We start from the raw sequence: 17193 nt of genomic DNA, 5'->3' as shown, positions 1-17193 counted from the left end.
GGCATGGTGGCTCACGCCCGTAATCCCAGCACTTTGGGAGGCTGAGGTAGGCGGATCGCGAGGTCAGGAGTTCAAGGCCAGCATGACTAACACAGTGAAACCCCGTCTCTAATAAAAATACAAAAAAAAAAAAAAATAGCCAGGCGTAGTAGCGGGCACCTGTAATTCCAGCTACTGGGGAGGCTGAGGCAGGAGAAACACTGGAACCCAGGAAGCAGAGGTTGCAGTGAGCCGAGATCGCACCACTGCACTCCAGCCTGGGATCCAGCACTGCACTCCAGTGCTGGGATCACAGGCATGAGGCAGCCTGTGACAGCCACTCAAGACAGAGTGAGACTCTGTCTCAAAAAAAAAAAATAAATAATAATAATAATAAATTTATCCACTCTTTTAAGAAACTTTTATGGGAGAGTTGGTCCAAATTGCCTAGTCATCATTGTTGGAAATGAAATGATCAGTGGTTTTCAATTATTCTATAACACTGTACTGAAATCAATTGTGGGAAATGTTCCTAATTTGTTAAGACCAGCTAAAGCATATAAATTGAAAATTATTACATTTCAAAAATAAATCAGAGTAAGCGTAGTGATATTGCTAATTATAATAGCAGCAATCATTTATTGAATACCTTGCATTTACTAGGTACTGAGCTGAAAACTGTACAAGTAATTTCATTAATCCTCAAAACAGTCTTATGAGATGGGTACTATTATTATCACTCCCATTTACAGTTGAATGACTGAGGTTTAAAAGTTAAGAAATTTGCCAAATATCACACAGCTAGTAATATTGTACTAGACATTCAAACCTAGCTGTTTTACTCTGAAGAGGCCCTATTTCCTATCATAGGAATGAAGGATTTAATGAAAGATTTTATTCTTTTAACAAAATCGGTTTCAATCACTTGCATATTCCTGAATATTAAAGAAAAGATTGGACTTAAAGTTAGTATGTTTGGTATTACACCTGACACTGGGCATACCATAGGAGTTATGTCCTCCATGTAAATATGTGTATCAAAACGAAAGGAAAGGTTTTTTTTTTTTTTTTTTTTTTGAGACGGAGTCTCGCTCTATTGCCCAGGCTGGAGTGCAGCGGCATGATCTTGGCTCACTGTAAGCTCCGCCTCCTGGGTTCACGCCATTCTCCTGCCTCAGCCTGCCGAGTAGCTGGGACTACAGGCGCCCGCCACCACACCTGGCTAATTTTTTGTATTTTTAGTAGAGACGGGGTTTCACTGTGTTAGCCAGGATGGTCTCGATCTTCTGACCTCGTGATCCGCCCGTCTTGGCCTCCCAAAGTGCTGGGATTACAGGCGTGAGCCACCGCGCCTGGCTGGAAAGGCTTTTTTTTTTAAGAGACAGGGTTTCGCTCTGTAACACAGGCTGGAGTGCAGTGGGACAATCATAGCTCACTGCAGCCTTAAACTCCTGGGCTCAAGTAGTCTTCCTACCTCAACTTCCTGAGTAGCTAGGACGATAGGTGTTCACCCCCACACCCAGCTAATTAAAATAATTTTTTTTTTAAAGAAATGGGGTCTTGGCCAGGCACTGTGGCTCATGTCTGTAATCCTAGCACTTTGGGAGGCCAAAGCGGGTGGATCACTTGAGGTTAGGAGTTCAAGACCTGCCTGGCCAACATGGTGAAACCCCATCTCTACTAAAAATACAAAAATTAGCTGGGCGGTAGTGGCACGCGACTGTAATCCCAGCTACCTGCTAAGCTGAGGCAGGAGAATCACTTGAGCCTGGGAGGCAGAAGTTGTGGCGAGCCGAGATTGTGCCACTGTACTCCAGCCTGGGCAACAGAGTGAGATTCCATCTCAAAAAAAAAAAAAAGAAAGAAAGAAAGAAAGAAAAAAACCCGGGGTCTTGCTTTGTTGCCCAGGCTGGTCTTAAACTCCTGGCCTCAAGTGATCCCCCTGCCTCCCTCTCCCAATGTGCTGGGATTACAGGCATAAGCTGGCCAGAAAGGTAGACTATTAACTGCTGAACTAATTAATGAACGAATGCGAGAAACTATTAAGAAATGCTCTTTTTACTTACATGCGTAGACTGGTTTTAGGTAGGCATGAATACAAGTAAATAACAGAATATGTCTCCTGGCTTAGTAGAGCCATTTGATGGCTTGGTTTTTGGGTGAAGTTGCTCTACACACATATATTTATCCAGACTAGAAACTGCAAATACAACAGTATATTGGCTGTATTAGCAATGCCACCTAGTGGCAGCCAAATATAGATATATTTTGAAAAAAGTTGTAGAAGAATGGTTCTTAACATTTCACAGTCTTTGGAGAACCTGATGAATACTACAGGTTCTTTCTTGCTAGAAAAAAAGCTTATTTGCAATGATACATAACAAGTACAGTGCTTTCAGAAATTAACAGGCCTCCTGAAACCCACCTTTTAACTATTAAAATTAATAGAACAAAGCAAGTAACCTAGTAGCCCAACCAACTCTCCGTAAGCCATCAGCAGAAAAAATTTATTTATTTCCCCTTCATCTCCTCCTTTCTGGTTAGCAACCACTATTCTTGCATAAACAGTATCTTAACTTGTCCCTCTGGGCTAGGTACTTGGTCTCTGCAAATTACTTGATTTACACTTTACTCAAATCGATTTACAAAACTTGATGGTTAGTAATTTTTCCCTGATGATTTTCATTAAATTTAATGATCAAATAAACAGTAACTTTTATTTGTAACATTTAAAGAAGTGATGAGGACTTCTAAGATATCTTAATTTCAAGTTATAACCTTTCAGTTATATCTAAAAATATTGCCGGGCATGTTGGCTCACGCCTGTAATCCCAGTACTTTGGGAGGCTGAGGCGGGTGGATCACCTGAGGCCAGGAGTTCAAGACCAGCCTGGCCAACATGGCAAAATCCTGTCTCTACTAAAAATACAAAAATTAGCTGGGTGTGGCGGTGCACACCTATAATTTCCAGCTACTTGGGAAGCTGAGGCACTAGAATTGCTTGAACCCGGGAGGCGGTGGTTGCAGTGAGCTGAGATCACAGCACTGCACTCCAGCCTGGGTGTCAGAGAGAGATGCTATCTCAATAAATAAATAAATAAAAATATAAATGAAACTGTTTACGGATAAATTTAAGACAAATTCTCCATTTTAAAGCCAAACACGTAGGTATCTAATATTTTAGGAAATTTAGTAAGTCTTTTAGGTGACTAGTATACAACCAATTATAACTTACTAAATGATACTTCCAAAAAAGATACCTTCCACACTCTAGGAATCATTCATTCTAAACACAAATTTCAAAAACCTAATTGGGAAATTTTGCCTATGCAGAAAAAAAATTCATATTTCACTTTTAAGCTACGATTTCCAGTAAAGAGAGCCATAATAAATAATGAATTACATTTTTTTCTGTTAAAATTAGTTTCTTTTTCACCACAAACTGTTATCAAAAGGAGGCCCATATTTTTCACCAGACTACTCTCCCAATATGATCATTTATTCTCTTTGTTGAGGGTTAGTTATATGGGTATATTGCAGAGGTGCCTGTTTCATCAGCACATAATAGAACATGAGAATGTCACATTTCCCTAAGTGAGGATTATGTTAAGCCTGGAAAATGAAAGTAAGTGTAATTAGGATATCCTAAACACAACTGCATTTCCTACATATAAAAGAAAAGAAATGGTGACCAATAAGGATAAAATTCTGTTGATCACTAATCAGCAAGAAAATGGCATAAGCTTAAAAAAACCAGAGATTATTTGAAATTGTTTCTATTAAGTAAAAACCCAGATCAGATTTTGAAACCTTTGACTCTGCTTTGCTTCTGGTTTCTTATTTTACTCTTTTCTATAATTGCCAAAGTTCACAAGTAAATAGTTTACGCTTATTAATTAAAATTTTTACACTTGTCACACTATTGGTTATTGACTAGCTTGGCTCTTGGGAGGCCTAAGTGAGATAATTCATTTAAAGTGATGCTCACAGAGACTACCACCTAGTAAACATTCAATAAATGTTAGCTGCCTATCAGTCAGGATAGGTTAGATTATGACGTAATAACAAACAACACAAAGATCTCAAGCAACATCTATCACTTATGCTCACATTTCATTGGTCAAAGCAAATAATATGGCTGGAGTTCAGTAAGGTAGGGATGCAAAATCTTCCCATAGGAATGGGTACCACAAAATGGCCACCAAACATGAATAAAAATAAAAGAACTGACCAGCTAGTATTAGCATGAGTATGACAATGATGTTTGCCTTTTTTGTTGTTAGTAGTGCTTAACCTCTTGCAAACTGATTTCCACCCCAACCAGTCAATTAAAAAATAAAGACTAGTGATATCTTTTGTTTTCCTTTTGCTTTTCTGCAAATTATATTTTATAAATGCTCTTTCTTCTTCATTCTTTCTGTTAAACCCAGGGGATCCTAAATGGAAGTCAGGATCAAAAAGGTCTAAGAACTAAAGGTCATTTGGTCAAATGGAAATGGCATATACTAGATCTCTCTTTATATTTCTTTTATATTTAACAGATTTCTCCCCAAGCTTCTAAATATTCAATTTCTTTCCTTCCTTCCTTTTCTTCTTTCTTTCATCTCTCTCTTTCCTTCTGTCTCTCTCTTTTTTTTTTTTTTCTGGTAGAGATGGGGTCTCATTATGTTGCCCTGGCAGGTCTTGAACTCCTGGTCTCAAGCAGGGATCCTTCCTTGGCCTCTCAAAGTGCTGAGACTACAGGCATCAGCCACCATGCCTGGACTTTATTTCTTTTTTAAATATTGACTTTTTTTTTTTTTTTTTTTTTGAGATGGAATTTCGCTCTTGTTGCCCAGGCCGGGGTGCAGTGGTGGAATCTCGGCTCACTGCAACCTCCACCTCCTGGGTTCAACTGATTCTCCTGCCTCAGCCTCCTGAGTAGCTGGGATTACAGGTGCCTGTCAACACGCCTGGCTAATTTCTTGTGTTTTTAGTAGAGACGGGGTTTCATCATGTTGGCCAGGCTGGTCTCAAATTCCTGACCTCAGGTGATCCACCCGCCTCGGCCTCCCAAAGTGCAGAGATTACAGGCATGAGCCACCGCGCCTGGTCAAATATTGGCTTTCTAGTCACTATCATCTAAAACAGTGGGTTTTGGGGGACAAAATCCAACAGATTCATGATTTAAAAAAAAAAAACAAAAACCTCAGCAAATTTGGCACAGAGGGGTACTTCCTCAACCTGGTAAATAATATCTACAAAAACCTACAGCTAACATCATACTTAAGGGTGAGAAACTAGAGGCCTTCCCATTAAGGTTGGGAACAAGGCAGGATGGCCCCTTCATGACTCCTCTTCAACATTATTTTGAAAACCTAACCAATGCAATAAGACAAGAAAGGAAATAACAGGTATACAGATTGGGAAAGTAGAAAAACTGTCTTTGTTCACAGATGACATAATTATCTATGTAGAAAATCATAAGGAATCATCAAAAAAGTCTTGGAGCTATTAAGCAATTACAGCAATGTTGCAGGATATAAGGTTAGTAAACAACCTTAAAAAAGCCAAGTTTTTTCTATATATTAGTAATTAATACTCATGTTCTATCAATAGAGTATATATTATACTCAGGATCTATCAGAAAATATATGTATTTATAAATATAGCATATATATAGCATATATATAATATAGCATATATATATATAGAGAGAGAGAGAGAGAGAGAGCAGTTTTTTAAAAATAATTGCCAAACAGGAACAAACAAGATATCCTTCAGTAAGTGAATGGATACACAAACGGGTGGTACATCCATACAGAGGAATATTATTAAATAGTGATGAAAAGAAATGAGGTATCACACCAGAAAAAGACAAGGAAAAACCTTAAATGTATATTGCAAAGTGAAAGAGGTCGGTCAGAAAAGGATCATACCCTATAATTCCAACTATAGTGTCTTCTGGAAAAGGCAAAACTATAGAAACAGTAAAAAGATCAGTGGTTGTGAAAGGTTTGGGGGCAGGTGGGGAAGTGGAAAAAACAGGTGAAGCACAGGGCATTTTTAAGACAGTGAAACTATTCTGTATGATACTATAGGTATATACATGACATTATGCATTTGTCAAAACCCATAGACCTGTATAACACAGAGTAGATCCCATAAACTATGGGTTTTAGTTAATAATGTATCAATATTGGTTCCTCAATTGTAACAAATAAATTACACTAATACAATATGTTAATAGTAGAGGAAACTGTGTGGTGGGGAAAGGTGTTATGGCAGTGGTCCCCAACCTTTTGGGCACCAGGAACCAGTTTCGTGGAAGACAAGTTTTCCACAGACCTGAGGTGGGGGATGGTTTTGGGATGAAACTGTTCCACCTCAGATTATCAGGCATTAGATTTTCATAAAGAGCATGCAAGCTAGATCCCTCGTATGTGCAGTTCACAATAAGGTTCGAGCTCCTATGAGAATCTGATGCTGCTGCTGATCTAACAGGAGGTAGAGCTCAGGCAGTAATTCGAGTGATGGGGAGCGGCTGCAAATACAGATGAAGCTTCACTTGCTTGCCAGCCCACTGCTCACCTACTGCTGTGTGGCCTGGTTCCTAACAGGCCAGGGACCAGTACTGGTCTGTGGCCTGGGGATTAGGGACCCCTGGTGTATTAGAATCCTCTGTCTTTTCTGCTCAATTTTTCTGTAAACCTAAAACTACACTGAACAATAAAGCCTATTATTATTATTATTATTATTATTATTATTATTGTTTTTGAGACAGGGTTTTGCTCTGTTTCCCAGGTTAAAGTGCAGTGGTGCAATCACAGTTCACTGTGACCTTGAGCTTCTGGGCTCAAGCAATCCTCCCTCCTTAGCCTCCCAAGGAGCTAGGACCACAGGCACATGCCACCACACCCAGCTAATTTATTTATCTTTTATTTATTTATGTGTTTTTCAGAAACGGGGTCTTGCTAGGTCTGCTCTTGAACCTGTGGTCTCAAGCGATCCTCCTGCCTTGGCCTCCCAAAGCACTGGGAGCACAGGAATGAGCCACTGTGCCCAGCTCTAATAATTTTTTGTTTTGTTTTGTTTTGTAGGCGTTCTCAGTCCTTTATAAATTTCCCTTCTCTTTCCATTCAACTACGGGCACCAGCAACCTACCTGGATAAAGTGAGGATCTCATTTAACTTGCAGCATAATTACAGTATACCTTTAAATTTCTCTTTTCACATACTTTCACATAATATGTAATAAATGTGAACAAGTGAACAAATAACTGTTTTCTATACAGTTAATGGCATCAAAATCTACCCAGTCACTCAGTAAAAAACCAGTAACTACACAGAAAAATGTTGCAAGATCTCATTTATAGAGATAGAGATGGGAGGAGATGTAGATCAAAGGATACAAAGTAGCAAATATACAGGCAGAACAAGTCAAAAGATCCAATGTACTCTACATACACTATGAGGACTATAGTTAATAACAATGTGTTGTATTCAGAGTTTTTGCTAAACTAGTAAATTATAGCTGTTCTTGCCATGAGGAGTAAAAACGTAAAAATGGGTAACTACATGAGATAAAGAATATGTTAATTTTTTCCACAATAGTAACCATTTTACTATATATATTTATATCTTATAACATCATGTTATATACCTTAAATACACATAAAATATATTAAAACAAAACAAAAGGAAATCCAAGAGTTATCTTTCATTCCTTCTTCCTCCATAATAACGTACCACACTCTTGATTGTACTTCTAAAATTTCTGTCATATTTGTCCTTTTTCATCCCAAATGCTATTTCCATTCCAAGCAATCTTTTAAAACATCAAAGATCTATACCATCTTTTGTCTTCATTTTGCTTGACTTCTCTCTACAAGTTCTCTTTATAAATACTCCTTGCTATCCATTCTTCCTATCACCTCCTGGGAAGCTTGTGTCTCTCATAAGGATAATCCTAACTGCTCCTCTTCTCTTCCACCTTCAATCTATCTCCCACACTATAGCCAGGATTATATATTCATAAATTGCAGATCTGGCTGTTTTATATATACTTAATTTTAGGGCATTTAAAATAATTTTTTTTTTGAGACAAGGTCTCACTTTGTCACCCAGGTTGGAGTGCATGGTGCAATCATAGCTCACTGCAGCCCCTATCTCCTGGGCTCAAGCCATCCTCTCGCTTCAGCCTCCTGAATAGCTGAGACTAACAGTCCTGTGCCACCACACCCGACTAATTTTTGTATTTTTTATAGAGATGTAGAGATGTGTTGCCCAGGCTGGACTTGAACTCCTAGGCTCAAGTGATCAGCCCGCCTTGGCTTCTCAAAATGCTGGAATTACAGGCATGAGCCATAATTTCAATCTCTTTTGACATTCAGCAGAGTCTGCTATCTGGGTTGCTTTTCAGAGGCTTCCAAATTAATTAAATGCTACAAATGAGTTTCTTAATCTGGTTTTCCCAAGGAATATGAGGACAGGTCTAGACACGAACAGAAAAGTATCCTGTAACCTGTAATTCCTTCTTTTCCTCTCTCCCTCAACCTCTACTAGTGAATGTAGTGTTATTCTACTACGAATGCAGTTATTAGAAAAACAGTGATATGAGTTAATTCCCTAGGATTTATGTCCCTGTTTGAGTTAAATCACCAAGCAAACATGAACATAATTCTAAAGTTCCAAGTTTTAAACTCCCATAAACTTGGAGAAATGATATATTATAGATTAATTCCCAAAGCATTCGTCAGATCATTAATCCAGTACCCTTCTGAGCCAAGCAGACAATCATTCCTTAATACTTATCCTAGCTGCTTCAGAGATGAATTCATTATAGCACAGAGATTGCAAGTGCTTGTAGTGATGAATTTTATTCAGCAATGGGTACTGCTTGACAATCTTTCACCTGTTTTTCCCCAATGAAGATCAAACTGCTTTCAAATATGGAAGTGTTTTCAATTTATTATCTAGGGACAGGAACAGCAAGAACAAGCAAGGCACATGGGGCACAAAATTTAATGAGGCACTTATTCATCCATTCTGTATCTGCATGACCCTGAGAGTGCCTATTTATATTTTGTGCCCTCAGTATCTAACTCAACCTCTCCCTAGTTCTAGCTCTGACATTATTCCAGTATATTTGTGAATGTTCAAAGGAAAATTGATCTTCATTCTCTCTTATTTCTTTTTCTTTTTCTTTTTTTTTTTTTGAGACGGAGTCTTGCTCTGTCGCCCAGGTTGGAGTGCAGTGGCGTGATCTCGGCTCACTGCAAGCTCCACCTCCCAGGTTCACATCACTCTCCTGCCTCAGCCTCCCGAGTAGCTGGGACTACAGGCGCCTGCCACTAAGCTCGGCTGATTTTTTTTGTATATTTAGTAGAGACGGGGTTTCACCATGTTAGCCAGGATGGTCTCGATCTCCTGACCTTGTGATCCGCCTGCCTCGGCCTCCCAAAGTGCTGGGATTACAGGTGTGAGCCACTGCACCTGGCCATTCTCTCTTATTTCCACTAGTAAAAGAATATTTTTCAGAAGGGGCACTTTTTTTTTTTTTTTTTTTTTTGAGACAGAGTCTTGCTCTGTCGCCCAGGCTGGAGTGCAGTGGCGCCATCTCCACTCACTGGAAGCTCCGCCTCCCGGGTTCAGGCCATTCTCCTGCCTCAGCATCCTGAGTATGTGGGACTACAGGCACCCGCCACCACGTCCGGCTAATTTTTTGTATTTTTAGTAGAGACAGGGTTTCACCATGTTAGCCAGGATGGTCTCGATCTCCAGACCTCATGATCTGCCCGCCTTGGCCTCCCAAAGTGCTGGGATTACAGGCGTGAGCCACCACGCCCAGCCCAGAAGGGGCACTTTTTATACTTTGGTTCAAAGGACTCAAGAAAGCATTTAGTTCTACATGTTAATACTCCATCAATTACATTCAACAAGAATACCAAAATAAATATCCAAGTATGTAAATGATGTTAGAGGATGTAAGGGAAGACATTTCTCACATGGAATTTTGCATATTTAAATGGACTTCATTTATTAAAATAACAATTGCTTAAGCAATTAAATCTAGAAAGAAAAGAAAAACCTTCCACGCTAAACTAATTTAAATAAACAACCTTATTTGCTTAACTGGGGTTTTCTCTTTGCTTTTTAAATACTAACCCTAAAGGAAAAACAAAACAGAACTCTAAGTCAAACTTAAAGCACTGATTGGAGGATCAGAATGCTTACAAAACACAAAGGTAATTAAAACAAATCTTAGAATTTTTACTTCTGACATAAAAGCACCAATAAAAAGATAGGAAATATCATTTTTGCTTATTAAAATAAAATTATTCTTACCAGATAAAGCAGAAAGGTGTGCAGCCCTGTTCCAAGCCCAACAGAAGACAAAATTCCTAAGCCTATCCAGTAGGCATACAAAAGAAACTGTTTCTCTATACGTTGCACATACTGAAAAAAAGGGATGAGGTGAAAACCGTGAATTCTCTATACAGAAATGCGGTATTTATAAACCATCATCAAAATTAAATCAACTAAAGTAAGTTTCAAATAGGAAAAAACTAATAAGATTAAAAACCCATTGAAGAGGCCTAATTTCTTTAATACACAATGGCAAAGATGACAAAAAAATTAATCTAACTGGAATAAAGGTCTTATTTCTAAACCTTTAATAAAAGCCTTGTTTCTAAACTTTTAAAGTCCTACTATTTACAGGACACAGGAAAAAGCAAATTATGAATAAGATAATTTTGAGGATAATTTTAGATATATTTAAAATAAATGCATTTAGAACTGTAAAAACTTCTCTGTGATTAGCAGTAAACTGTTTTAAAATACCATTCTAGAGTCATTTCAGTGATTGGCAGTAAACTGTTTTAAAATACCATTCTAGAGTCATTTCTGTGATTGGCAGTAAACTGCTTTAAAATACCATTCTAGAACCATTTCCTGTTAAAATACATTAATGTTTTGCTATTTTAACAAAAGAGGTTAACAAAGCATCCTATTTTCCCATCAGTAATGTTGTACATGTAGACTACAGGCAAATGAACCTGTCTTTTTATACAAATAAAACGTAATCATCAACCTTGGATGAGAGGCCTACCTATTTGGATGGGTCACAAAAGTATGTTAGAGAAAATAAGAAAACTTTGGCAGTGATTAACGGATTCATGCTGCTGTGACGGAAAACCTTCAGGAAAGTTACATTTAAATCTTTGATTACAGGCAGAGTGGCCTGTAATCCCAGCATTTTTGGAGGCCAAGGCAGCCAGATCACCTGAGGTCAGGAGTTTGAGACCAGCCTGGCCAACATGGCAAAACCCCATCTCTACAAAAATACAAAAAAAATTAGCTGGGTGTGGTGGCAGGTGCCTGTAATCCCAGCTACTTGGGAGGCTACAGCAGGAGAATTGCTTGAACCCAGGAGGCAGAGGTTGCAGTGAGCTCAGATCACACCACTGCGCTCCAACCTGGGTGACAGAGCGAGACTCTGTCTTTAAAAAAAAAAAAATCTTTGAAGGTAAAAGGAATCACACACACCACATATAAATCCTCAGCAGCCATAAAACATCACAAGAATATTTTTAGTGTATGCCTTTAAAAGTAAAACATTTGAGATACTAGTTATGAGATAATGTTGAGGGTAGAAATTCTATAAAACCCACATTCATCCCATTTGAAACTGAGATTAGAGAATTAGAGAATGTGCAAGACTAGAAACAGAATTGCTCGACCTCTCACCTGTTGATGCACTCCTTCAACATAATACGTAGCTATAAGCACAGCAAGCAGCAGTAAAAAAGACACCACAATGCTTTGACGATGCCATAATCTTAAAAACAAATAAAAAAAATAAATATCTCACAGTCTCACTTTCAGCATTCATCATTCTCAGAACAATTTCTTGCTGAAACAGTTAGGTTACCTAGCTCAGCTGGGCTGAGCTCTTTTCCTTACACATCATGGCCTCTTGGAGTAACAGAAGGGGGTCAAGGGAAGATACATAGGCAGAGAACCCAAGTTCTTATCATAACCCCCACTGTAGCCTTTTCCTTACCCAAAGCCTGATCTTATTAAACCTCAACTTATAATATGGAGAAGCATTATAGTATAATAGAAAGAGCACTGGCCTTCAAGTCAGAGGACCTGGGTCAGAGACCCTTCATGTTGCACTTTCAGCCAGACACTTAACCAACCTGATTCTGTTTCTTGTTTTTATAATCTTTATTTACTTATTTTTATTTTTTTTTGAGATGGAGTCTTACTCTGTTGCTGGAGTGCAGTGGTGCGACCTCAGCTCACTGCAAGCTCCACCTCCCGGGTTCAAGCTATTCTCCTGCCTCAGCCTCCCAAGTTGCTAGGACTATAGGTGTGTGCCACCATGCCCGGCTAATTTTTGTATTTTTAGTAGAGACGGGGTTTCACTATGTTGGCCGGGCTGGTCTTGAACTCCTGTCTTAGTGATCTGCCTGCCTCGGCCCCTCAAAGTGCTGGGATTACAGCCGTGAGCCACCATGCCCGGGCTTTGTTTCTTTTTTTCAGAGACAGGGTCTTGCTCTGTCACCCAGGCTGGAGTGCAGTGGCATGATCTTGGCTCACTGCAACTTCCACCTCCTGGGTTCAAGCTATTCTCCTGCCTCAGCCTCCCAAGTTGCTAGGACTACAGGCGCACGCCACCATGCCCGGCTAATTTTTGTATTTTTAGTAGAGATGGGGTTTCACCATGTTGGCCAGGGTGGTCTCGAATTCCTGACCTCAGGTGATCCACCCACCTCAGCCTCCCAAATGGCCTAAAATTCCACCTCCTGGGTTCAAGTGATTTTCCTGAGTAGCTGGGATTACAGGCATGCACTACCACGACCGGCTAATTTTTTTTTTTTTTGAGACAGAGTATCGTTCTGTTGCCCAGGCTGGAGTGCAGTGGCATGATCTCGGTTCACTGCAACCTCTGCCTCCCACGTTCAAGCGATTCTCCTGCCTCAGCCTCCTGAGTAGCTGGGACTACAGGCACATGCCACCACGCCCGGCTAATTTTTATATTTTTAGTAGAGACGGGGTTTCACCATGTTGGCCAGGTCTCGAATTCCTGACCTCAGATGATCCACCCACCTCCCAAAGTGCTGGGATTATAGGTGTGAGCCACCACGCCTGGCCTAAAATGTTTATAATAATGTACTTGTTTTACCTTCTTTATGGAGTTGCCCTAAGGATCAAAATCAGCTGAAAATGTTACAAAATACTTTATAAACTCTTAGTACAATAAAAATGTTAAGATAATAGTACAGAGAATAACTTGGAAGGGCATGCCAGAAGATAAGGCATGTAAAAGTTCAACTTGTTCTTTATGGTACTTGAAACAGGGCTTACAAGTACTAAATTTAAAGACAACACATTTCCATGGCAGAGTTCTTTTTCATTGGCTCAAACTATCAGTAAAACTGCCACATATGCTGAACCTTGCCCTGCTAAAGAATCAGTGTATCTAAATTACACAGACCTGATTTCTCCCAATGGTAAAATCAGGAGAGAAAATAAAAATCGTATTTTTCAGTGTTCTCCACTGCAGATTCAACATGAAAAAACAGTGGACAACTGTGATAATCCAGTAAGCAAACAGCAAATAGCAATGTCTTTCCCTAATCTATTTTTCTTCAACCTAAAGAAAGGAGAATAAATATGTTCCTATGGTAATATTCTAAAGGTAATTAATCCATTTTGATGGAGTAGAGGGCAGAAAGTAAGAGATTACTGAGGATTTTTTAAATGAGTAAATGAGGTGTATGTAAAAGGTAGTGGGAGAAGACTCTTTACTTTGAGGTCCATTCCTTCAAGATTACAAGGATTTCCAGAGAAAAATACTGCAAGGTAATGAGCGGCTGTCTCCACAGGACAATATTCTGCCTTTCTTCCCGCTCCCTCCTCTTCTTTTCATTCACTGAAGAGGGGTCTGAAAAACAATAGTGCAGAGATTAAAACAGAATTTCTAACATTTATGCTTATTCTCTTCAATCACTTTAGATGAAAAGAGTTTTATCTCCCAAATAACAACTAATAGCAAGTCCTAGAGTCTTGTGAAAAATGGCAACTAGTAGTACCTATAATCTCAGCACTTTGGGAGGCTGAGGAGGGCAGATCACTTGAGGTCAGTAGTTCAAGACCAGCCTGGCCAACATGGTGGAACTCCGTCTCTACTAATAATACAAAAATTAGCTGGGCATGGTGGTACACGCCTGTAATCCCAGCTACTCGGGAGGCTGAAGCACAAGAATCCCTTGAACCTGGGAGGCAGAGGTTGCAGTGAACTGAGATTGTGCCACTGAAGACCAGCCTGGATAACAGAATGAAAGAGACTCTGTCTCAAAAAAAAAAAAAAAAAAAAAAAGGCAACCAGTCCCAACTCAGCATAGAAAGAAGATGAATGACAGTAGTTCCCCCTTATCTACAGTTTCAGTAACACATGGTCAACTATGGTCTGAAAATAATAAATGGAAAATTCTGAAAATAAGCAATTCATAAGTTTTATTGTTTTAAATTTATTTTTATTTTTTTAAGAGACAGGGTCTCCATTCCGTTGCCCAAGCTGGAATGCAGTGGCATAATCACAGCTCACTTTAAACTCCAACTCTTGGGGTCAAGTGATCCTCCCACCTCAGCCTCCCAAGCAGCTAGGACTACAGGTGTGTACCACCGCACCCAACTAATATTTTTGGTTTTTGTGGAGACACAGTCTCACTACGTTGCCTGGGCTCATCTGAAACTCCTGACCTCAAGTGATCAGCTCGCCTTGGCCTCCCAAAGTGCTGGAATTACAGGTGTGAGCTACTGCAGCCAAGCCCCTAAGTTTTATATTGTATGCTGTTCTGAGTAGTATAATAAAATCTTGCCAGTCCTGCTCCATCCAGCCTAAGACCTGATTCATCCCTTTGTTTAGTACATCCGCGTTGTATATGTTACCCCATTACTATATACAGAACAACACAGTGTTTTTTCCTATATCCACTAGGGGTCATGGAATGTATCCCTCATGGATAAGGGGGCTACTATATTATAGTTGCCATTTCTTAATCAGTGTTACCTAGAGAACAACTGAGGCAAAACCAACTCCCTGCCTTGATAAACATCAGAATCTTTTGTAGAGGATGTCCTAAAGAAATGGTACTGAAAATTCCAGCAGTTGAATTTGGGATAGAGCTATAGATTTTGGGAAAATTACTGAAATAAGTCTAAATTGGTCCACCTTCTATGAAGGGCATTCTATCAACCTAGGATCATATTACAGAACAAAGTGGTTTAGATCGCAAAAATGGTGAGGCAAACTAGTTGGTTCCAATCCTGGCTCTGCCTTCTATTAGTCACGTGATCTTGGGCAAGTTAGTTAATACTTTTGTGACTCAGTTTTCTCTTCTGTAAAATGGGGATCACAATAGTACATACTTTTCAGGGTCATTTTAAGGATTAAATGAGCTCATATATGTAAAGTTCTCAGAAGAGTTTAACACTTAGTAAGTGCCCAATTAAGTTTAGCTATTAATTGTCACCATCTATTGAAATTACAAAATGCTTTTGTTTTTGTTTTTTTTGAGACAGGGTCTCATTCTGTTGCCCAGGCTGGGGTGCAGTGGTAGCATGATTTTGGCTCACTGCAACCTCCACCTCCCTGGTTAAAGCGGTTCTCCTGCCTGAGCTTCCCGAGTAGCTGGGATCACAGGCATCTGCCACCACGCCCGGCTAGTTTTTTTTTGTATTTTTAGTAGAGATGAGGTTTCATCATGTTGGCCAGGCTGGTTTCAAACTCCTGACCTCAAGTGATCCACGCACCTCCGCCTCCCAAAGTGCTGGGATTACAGATGTGAGCCACCACGCCCAGCACAAAATGCATATACACTGTAAACCGGTAATTCCATTTCTAGGAATGATTAGGTATAAGGTGAAATGACTTGCACAACTTTATTGACCACAGCATTATTTGTACTAGCAAAAAATAATCAATAACTTATATATTACCAATAGAGGACAGAAGAGTGATTAAAGTACAGCACACTCGTACAATGGAAAGAAAAACTAAGCAGCCATAATAAAGAATAAATTTTTTTTTTTGGGGGACAGGGTCTTGCTCTGTCACCCAGGCTGGAGTGCAGTGGTGTGATCGCAGCTCACTGCAGCCTTGTGGGCTAAATCGATACTCTCACCTCAGTCTTTCCAGTAGCTAGCTAGAACTTGAGTAGCTAGCTAGAACTACAGGCGCATACGATCACATCCAGCAAATTTTTAAAATCTTTTGCAGAGATGAGGTTTCCCTGTGTTGTCCTGGCTGGTCTCAAACTCCTGGGCTCAAGAGATCCTTCCGCCTTGGCCTCCCAAAGTGTTGGGATTACAGGCGTGAATCACCACGCCCAGCCTAAGAATCAGTTTTTCATGTACAGTTATAGCATAATCTCTAAAATATTAAAAAACACCTGGTACAGAAGAGTAAGTTTGACATGCTAATGTTAATTTTAAATTCCAATGGGGTGAGCAGAAGAGGAAGAATATACAAATGTATGTGCTCTCTAAAAGGAAAGAAAAAAATAGCACACAAAAGCTCCTAATGGGAAGACACTATGATGTATGCAATGCCCATCTCTGAATCCTGAAACTCTTGGTGAAATTGCCAAGTTTACTGACAACCAAAGTAACCCAAAAGTCAGATCAGTGCTGCAAAATGTCCTCTGCAAGGCAATATGGTGATTAACAAACAAATGAGGCCGGGCGCGGTGGCTCATGCCTGTAATCCCAGCACTTTGGGAGGCCAAGGTGGGTGGATCACCCGAGGTCAGGAGTTCAAGACCACCCTGGCCAACATGGTGAAATCCCATCTCTACTAAAAATACAAAAATTGGCTGGGCGTGGTGGCGCATGCCTTTAATTCCAGCTACTCGGGAGGCTGAGGCAGAATTGCTTGAACCTGGGAGGCGGAGGTTGCAGTGAGCCAAGATCGCACCATTGCACTCCAGCCTGGTGACAGAGTGAGATTCCGTCTCAAAAAGCAAACAAACAAACAAACAAATGAAAACTACTATTTCAGATTCCTTGCACTTCCTCTAAAAGTAGAGGATTGCTGTGAAAATATTACCACACTAGAGTATTATTTGCCATGTGTTTGAGATGTCAAACAATTCAAAAGCTAAAAAAAAAGTATGATTACAACAAAAGTAAAACTTTTTTTTCATTTTCCTTTAAATGCATG

At 39.7% G+C, this 17193-nt stretch overlaps 1 protein-coding gene across 10 annotated transcripts in view; it reads right to left on the bottom strand.

Annotated features, from left to right (window-relative positions):
- The window catches only part of VMP1 (vacuole membrane protein 1), a 134602-nt gene that overhangs the window by 93004 nt on the left and 24405 nt on the right, over positions 1–17193 (bottom strand). For 4 of the 10 annotated variants that reach the window (NM_001329394.2, NM_001329395.2, NM_030938.5 and 1 more), the window contains exons 3-5: positions 13779–13914; positions 11709–11799; positions 10305–10415 (exon numbers count right to left, since the gene is read on the bottom strand). In NM_001329394.2, the coding sequence (NP_001316323.1) occupies positions 10305–10415; positions 11709–11799; positions 13779–13914 (338 nt within the window). The remainder of the gene's footprint in view (positions 1–10304; positions 10416–11708; positions 11800–13778; positions 13915–17193) is intronic. The other 6 variants (NM_001329398.2, NM_001329399.2, NM_001329401.2 and 3 more) reach the window with 4 other exon arrangements.

This window comes from Homo sapiens, chromosome 17, assembly GCF_000001405.40.
Source record: "Homo sapiens chromosome 17, GRCh38.p14 Primary Assembly".
NCBI lineage: Eukaryota > Metazoa > Chordata > Mammalia > Primates > Hominidae > Homo > Homo sapiens.
The sequence above is the reverse complement of the archived record's forward strand: the minus strand, read 5'-3'. Positions and strand labels throughout refer to the sequence as shown.